Source organism: Homo sapiens, chromosome 7 (genome assembly GCF_000001405.40).
Source record: "Homo sapiens chromosome 7, GRCh38.p14 Primary Assembly".
Taxonomy (NCBI): Eukaryota; Metazoa; Chordata; class Mammalia; order Primates; family Hominidae; genus Homo; species Homo sapiens.
Genome location: NC_000007.14, coordinates 20,408,230 through 20,416,264, shown reverse-complemented (window position 1 = coordinate 20,416,264; position 8,035 = coordinate 20,408,230). Strand labels below are relative to the sequence as shown.

The window sequence follows — 8,035 nt, the reverse complement described above, 5'->3', positions numbered from 1 at the left end:
TAATTCCTCTGGCGCCGCTGGGTTAGGGTCTCCACGACTGAGCTGATCTCAGTATCTACCACATTCTGCTTTATTCTCTTCTCTAGGGTAAGAAAAATCACAATACATGGGTATTCAATAAAATTCAATTAATTTAAGCCTGACTCTTGAGAATGTGCAATTGAAGGTTATGAATGTGTCACACCTAAGGTGGTGGTAGAAGTCTCTGGCACATGGAAAATGCCTGTTTTAACTTTTAGCTATTTTTTTCAGGTTTTTGTCATTAGAATATTTCTTCTGTTTCTACTGCAAATAACTATCAAAAAGGAAAAGAACAACTAGGATGGCCTCCCCTGTTTATCATTGGCCCTACAATTTTCTAGGAGTAATATCTTTTTGGAATTATGTAATGTCCTCTGCTAATGACAGTGTATAGATGCTATTACATTTCCTTGGGGGACAAAGTACTGTTGTCTGGAAGCTTTGAGATTAATGTAACACAAAGTAAATAAGGAAGCGTTTTGCATATTCTTAGATTTTTACATTTTTATTTTAAAACAGAGAATTTCATATTGATTAACACCTACTACTAAACAGAATGATGCATTAATTAAATGCCTTGTCCTAACTGTTATAAGCTCTGTTAGAAAAATAAACATCTCACCACAAACTACAGTGTCAGCTCTTTAATAAATACATAAAACAGAAGTTAGTAGTCAATCAGAGTTATATGAACAGGTTCATAGTATATTATGTGAAAGTATCATATTCTCCAATATTCTGTATCATTTAAGACAATTTAAGTTACGTATAATTCAAAGCCAGAAATAATAAGAAATATGTTCAGTGATAATTTGCTTCTTTCTTAGAGCTATTTTATATTCAAATATTTAATTTAAAAATATATTCTATATTAAATTTATTTTTACAAACGCAGTATTCGTTAGGTGAAACAAAATAAGTTTTTATGTTACTGATAAGTTTAATACATTTCTAATTTTTTTCAGAAGTTCAAGAAACCATAATGAAGTAGCTAATGTAAAATAGTTTAAAAGCTATGTTAAATATACACAAAATGAATTTCTATATTAATATGTGCAAATGTATATTTTCTTATAATTTAGAATTAAAGTACTTTATACTCAATATTCTTAATAAAATTTATGTACCATACTTGTCATTGCGTAGACTTCTTATCAAAATTTCACATTTATCTGTAGGAAAATGTAAAGTTGGTAAAAATTGTTTACACAAATCACACATTTTCCATCCTTGACAATTGCAGTGTTTTTTTTTTAAATATTGCTGTATTAGACAATTTTAACTGAAGTAGGTTGTAGAGGCTAGAAACCTGATTAATAGAGCAGTATTAGACAATTCTAACTGAAGTAGGTTGCAGAGGCTAGAAGAAACCTGATTAATAGAGTTAGCTTACAAAGATAAATTTTATGCAGAAAAGTATTCCAGGTAGATAAAAGAGTAGTGTTATTACTCTCAGGTTTACATTAACAGCTGCCCAGATAGCTGAACAATTATTTCATATAATTCAAATAATTTAAATATGCAGTTTTATAACAGTCGTTACATAAGCTTGAAGTTAAAGTGATCAGAGCCAAGGGGGAAAAACCCACAAATGATAAAGAAGAATAAAAAGTAAGAGGACTCTAGAAGAAAGTTGTTTTTCACAGCACTGATTGTTTTTATCATATTTTTCTCCTGCCATTGATACAAGACATGTAAGATGCTGCAAAACCTAACTATGACAGTTCCATGTAATATTTTTCCAGTTAATTTTGTTTAAAAGTGAGATGATAATATAAAAGGATCTCATATAATAGAATAAAAATAATAAAAATTTGTTAATGAAACGTAGACATACCTACCCATTCTTGTTAGTTAAGTTAGGGTTTGCTGAAATCATTCGCACTCACGTAAAGTATAAATGGGGACCTGAAAGAGCTTTTGTAAACTCAAGATATGCGGGATCTGAGCTGATAATCAGTTAGGCTCCATGTTGAGTTGTGCGTGACTCAGTTGTCCTTAAATTTCGCCTTCATATTTTGTCATAAATGGGCTCTCAAATCTTTATAAGAAAACAAAATTTGCCTAGATGCATAAACATTTAGGTAAAGTTGGATTAGTGTAATATTTATTCAAGCATAATTTTAAACACTGCATCTGAAGTGCCAACAGTTGCAAGAAATGTCACAATTTCAGAGATGTTAAATTGAAAAAGTGATGTCTTGGAATCAATGAAATATAAATATGGATATGTATAATCAGTTATACATAAAAATTTGCTATAGAGGAATTATAAAAGAAAAGGAAAATTATTTGAAAGAATGTTAGCTATATCTCAGTGGTCTGCATTGCATAAAATGGAGTTCTTGAGGTCAATATAAATAAGGATAGTTGTAAATTAAATATTGAGTCAACATAACAGAATGCAATCTGCACATGATTGAGCTCCCATGTAACTATATTTCACTTGATACTTTTATGAAAACATATATATTCCAAATCCTTCAAAATGAAAAGAAGCTCAAACAGTTGTGAAAATTTAGAATTCTTAGATTTTAATGGGTCTGTCTTTGTTCAGGGGCAAAGACTCAAATGAGCTTTAAGATCAATTAAAGATGTCTGGAAATGAAGAACTTCATTATACCATTAAATTCAGTTATTTTTCACTATTAGGCTTATTAAGCTTGAAGCTTTAGGAAATCTCTTGGGAAGAGTGAGTGGAAAAAACAGGAGTAAGAAAAGGAAGAAAAAGCCTTTGAGTCTAATCTACTCTACCAGGTTCCAGGAAGAATATAATTCTACAGAGAAAATTCTTCATAATCTATCATAATATATTTCAGTGTCTGATGGCTGACTCTTGTCTTGCATAAAGATATCTTCAGTGGATATTAAGTAAATATTAAAAATATATTTCAGATTCATTCTTTGAAGGATTGCATCTCATGCATCCACAAATTTTAATGTTGAGTTTTGGAAAATTGCCTCCAGAGATATCTACTGTGTTTAATCTTAGATTTTTTTTTTATTTTAATAAACCAAAGATAAACTGAACATTTAAGACATAATCAGATTTTTAGTGAATTTTTAAGTCCTCCAGAAAAGTCTATGACTTAATAAATATTAGCAAGTTTCCAAAAATATAACAAATGTTTATAAATACGTGTGCACTGCAGTGCAATGGTGTCCCCAGAGAAATAAAATGCATAACAAAGCAAATGTTATGTTGTAGTGTATGTATGGCACATTTATAAATCATTACATACTTTAGGGCACAAAAATGCTGCAGTACTAAAAGTGTTGTTCAAGTTCTCAATTCTGTTAACAATTTAAAATTTCATTAATTGTGTTTAATATCAATGAATCTCAAAAGGCTCCTGTGGCCATATTAGTTGAAAATAGACTCTATTTGCATACATTATTTAACCTAAGAGTACCCTGTGTTCCCTTACCATTTAATTAATTCTAACTAGTCAAATATTAATTCTCATCTCACAAATCATTACACAGGAAGATATCAATTATTCAAGTAAAATACAAGCCCTACAATCTTTAAAAATTAGCTTTTTAAGTAAAAACAAAAAAGATAAGCACAAGACTTTGCAAGCATAACCACAATCATCGTCTAACACTGAGTTGCCTACAAGGAAGTTTGTCCCTTCCTATGGTAACAGCCTTGGTCCACTATAAAGTTAGTGCAAACAAGTGAGGGTATAAAAAAAATATAAACTCTGGATTTTTAAGGATTTCATTTTGTTATACTCTTTTTGGATAATTCATTCCATACGGAAATTTGTTTATTGTTCATAAATATCATAATGTTCATTTCAAAAATTGTCATCATCTTAATGGCTATCTTACACTTTTTTCTTTTGGAGGGTTGTCAGGCATCCATCCATTTTCCTTTTTAAGAAGAACGTTATGTGTATTAGGCTACTAAACCCAATTTTTACATTATTTTTAGTGATCAAAGGTTTCTTATACAAGTGACTCACAGTACTGAATTATGTCAATCTCTCATTTGAGGAAGGAAATGCAGTTCAAGTTAGCATTGAAAGTGCTTGGCTGTAGAGGACATCTAACAGAGCTGCTGTGTTTATTGGCTCCAGAACAACTTATTATAGGTTTTTCAGTTCTCTTTAGGGTAGAATATGAGATGGGGTTAGTCTTCATCAAAATGCAGTATCTAGTACTTTAACTCAAGTGCTGGAAGACAGCAAATCTTGGAAGTTTATTATAAAAAAAAAGATATTTCGGATAGATTCCTTTGTTGTCATGGGCAAAACTGTATATCCACACAGGACTGTTAGACTCCTAGCCAATAAAATCAGACTAAGTCCATAGGGATAAGGTAAGTGTAAATAAATTTCCATTGGGGAAGACAGGGCTCATGGCCCGTGTATCAAGGTCTCAAGCTGAGCACTGGAGAACTCCAGGGAACACTGTTCATACAGGCTATGGTGCGAAGGAATTCCCCTGTAGGTATGCCATACTTCAGTCTCTTAAGAAGCTGATTAGCATGAAAGACTGGAAGCTGATTATGGACAATTCAGTTTGAATTATTCCTTTCTATTTTGCTTTGAACTTTCCTCATACACTTAAGACATGAGTAAATCACATTGAAAAACATTTGCCAATTGAATATTTTAAAGATTCAAGAGGTAGCATGATATTGTGCAATGAACACTGGCCTGACAATGAGAAGATAAAAACTCCTTTCCAATGTGGCCACTTTATCACTTGAGTGTTTTCTGAGAAATCGTTTAAGTTTTCTGAGGCTCAGTTCCCTAACTCACTAAAAAGGAGAATTAGCAGCCTGGCATGGTGGCTCATGCCTGTAATCCCAACACTCTGGGAGGCCGAGGAGGGTAGATCACCTGAGGTCAGGAGTTTGAGATCAACCTGTCCAACATGGCAAAACCCCGTCTCTACTAAAAATACAAAAATTAGCTGGGCACGGTGGTGGATGCCTGTAATCCCAGCTACTCAGGAGGCTGAGGCAGGAGAACTGCTTGAACCCGGGAGGCAGAGGTTGCAGTGAACCCTAATTGCGCCATTGCACTTCAGCCTGGGTGACAAGAGTGAAACTCCGTCTCAAAAAAAAAAAAAAAAAAAAAAAAAGCTTATTTCTAAGATATCATCTATTCTCCAATTTTGTACTTTTATGAATTCTGGCAAGAAGGGTTGGAGTGATTCTGGGAAAGAACATCCTTAGGCTGCCTTGAAGGGAGAAGATAATATAGCTTTTCATTTAAAAAATGCTGATATCTACTTGCAATCAAAATCTAAGAAAACATTCAAAATGTGGTACTTTGCTTGAGGCAGAATTTCTAACTATCTTGTGAATTAATGATAAGATAAATGAAATGGCCAAACAATCCCTTCAGTTTACCAGGTAAGAGGATACAAAACTCCACACTTGTGCACAATGAAGCTATTCAGGTTTTGATGATACTTTACAGTGTCCCCTATTAACATTCAGCTTTTAAAACTAGTATTCTGATAAAGTGACATTGTATTATTAGTTTTTTATGGCAGTAGTAACTTAGCACTTAATTAATCCAGTCATCTGTGACATACATAAACTTATCCTGTAAAAAAGAAAACAAAACATAAAGGCAAAGAGGAGAGAATGCTGGAATTAGTATCCATCTTGCAAAAATAAGCAAACCATAAACACACATGCATAAAACTACACACTTTAAAAAGCAATAATCTTTTAAGATTAAGGTTGTATCTGTTCACCTCTTGAAAGAGTGAAACACGAATCATTTATTCATCTAGCTGTTCTTGTCTATTCAACCACCAACTGTTGAAGTGTTTGGCAACCTTAGAATATACTTGCCAGATTATTTTTTTCCTCACATGTCCAGTGCAGGGATTACTGTACCCTTGTAGTGACACAATGCTAAACTCTCTCACAGCATTGTTCTCTCTGGGAAGCGTAGGGATAACAGGTACCTGTAAAGTGTAATCAGTGCTCTTCAGAGGATCTACATTCTATGCTGATCTAAATAAGTTATATATTACAGTAAAGTGCTACAACGACACTAGTCTCAAACAGTAGTAAGACACATTTTTCTCTGAAAAAGTCAGCAGCTATGTGAGTCACATCATGATGAGGATACTTGTCAGTCTTCGTTCGAGTGTACAACCAGCAACTGGCATGACCGTGAGCAATTTGTCTCCTCCTGTGACTTTTAAAATTATAATCTTTAGGAGCAATTATTAACAATTCCAGTTTCCCATTAAGTGTTTAAAAATCTTTTTTTAGAAGTTGCACCTGAAAGTTTCATGAGCATTTAATTTGCTGATATCCATTTTTATTTCTTCAGGCTTCTCACGTCGGTAGGTGACTGCTCTTGTGCAAACACTTTGCAGAATCAACTTATCCTTAATAGAGAAGAAATATTATTATTAACTAAGGGCCTAAATATTGTAACTAGGCAATAACATACTGTTAGCAGTTCTTTTTTAGAATTCACTGACCTTTTTTGAGGCTGACACTCTGTAATCTGATGAGGACTTAATTTTATTACTATTCCATTGTAGTATCACCTGTCTAATGATCAGGACTTTAAGCAACCCAATCAAGAATGTAACTATGAAAATGATGAAAAATATTCTCAAGTAGCTTGGGCTGGAGAAACATTCTGTAATGAAGCAAACAAATAAATGGATTAAAAATTGGAATAAGTAAATCAAAGAGTCTATCAAGTAAATAATGTTCACACTTCAATTAATAGTGCCAAAGATATTTGCAAATCTCCATTTTCAAATCGGGATTGAAATTACCTTTGATTCAAAACAAAAAGCTCTCTAATTTTTCTTGCGCGTTTACTATGAAAATATTTTCAATAGAAAACCCTCCTTTGGGAAATAGCCATGATTAAGGTATTCAATCACATTATTCCATTGCAGCTTGATTCTTTAATTGTATTAACTGGAATATGTCCATGTCCCATAACCAAGCATAATTTGATCCAAGACAGAAAGAGGACTAGTTTTTGTGGTACGTACTGTTGATCACTAAATGGAAAAGAGGATTTTAAAAAATTATTGAGCAGTTCTGGGCCTTAGGATATGTTTCTCTTGTTATGCTTGGTCTTCATTTGTTCCATGCCAGTAATGGAAAATAAAGTAAACATCTGCAGAAGCTAAAATCAAAACTACTCCAATAGGTGAATAAATATTTCTTCAGAAATTGAAGTGTAAATTTTCATTCTTATTATACACGGCTTCTCCAGGAAATAGGAGTGTCCAATTTGGGACAACATGAAAATATCATTCTTCATTTTCATTAATTTACTTTTTACTAGTCTGTTAACTACACCTATTCCATTTGCCTCTAAACATGCACTGTGTATTTTAAGAATAAATAATGCTTAGGACAAATAATTACTAGCTGGAAAAAGAAATGTTGTGTTAAGAGGAGGGGCATGCTGGATCTCATTTTAGCACCAGATCTTTGGCACACCCTCACAGCCAAAGATCTGGTGCTTGAAAGTCTACAGGCTCTGTTGTTGCCAGAGGCATTACCCTAATCTAACAGGAAGATGGTTGCACAATAGGCAAGTAGTCCATGGAACTCACCAGCTGCCCCAGATTCATAAAATTACTTTGTGGCTAAAGTGGCATGTGTTCCCCTCCCTACTCTCCAGAGTTTGGGAACCTCATCCAAAGTTCCAAGGTGTCCCTGAGAGGGCCACTACGGAGGTGACCTGCCAAGGCTTAGCATAGTGGACCGCCCAACCAATCCTGGGTGATTTGGGTCAGAATTTCCAGTGAGGACTAAGTATGTTTTTGAATAAGGCCAAGCTCAGTGATAAGGGAAAGGGTTCCTCTCAAGTGGGAAGACTTAATTAAGCCTATTTTTTTTTTTTTTTTTTTGTGATAAGGTACTTTGAAAGAAAGGTCAAAGGCTATCCCAGTGCTACAACTGGAATGGAAACACCAAATGCCAGTGCAGGTCTCTGTTGCTACAGGTCTCACAGAGAGAGAATCCAAAATATTCTGCTCAAAATTGGTGTCTTTTGAG

At 33.7% G+C, this 8,035-nt stretch overlaps 1 protein-coding gene across 13 annotated transcripts in view; it reads right to left on the bottom strand.

Annotated features, from left to right (window-relative positions):
• Positions 1-510: 510 nt before the first annotated feature.
• Positions 511-8,035, bottom strand: part of ITGB8 (integrin subunit beta 8) — an 85,989-nt gene continuing 78,464 nt past the window's right edge. For all 13 annotated transcript variants that reach the window (XM_011515393.3, XM_017012179.2, XM_047420345.1 and 10 more), the window contains 2 exons: positions 6,487-6,650; positions 511-6,390 (listed from right to left, as the gene is read on the bottom strand). In XM_011515393.3, the coding sequence (XP_011513695.1) occupies positions 6,268-6,390; positions 6,487-6,650 (287 nt within the window). In that variant the 3' untranslated portion in view covers positions 511-6,267. The remainder of the gene's footprint in view (positions 6,391-6,486; positions 6,651-8,035) is intronic.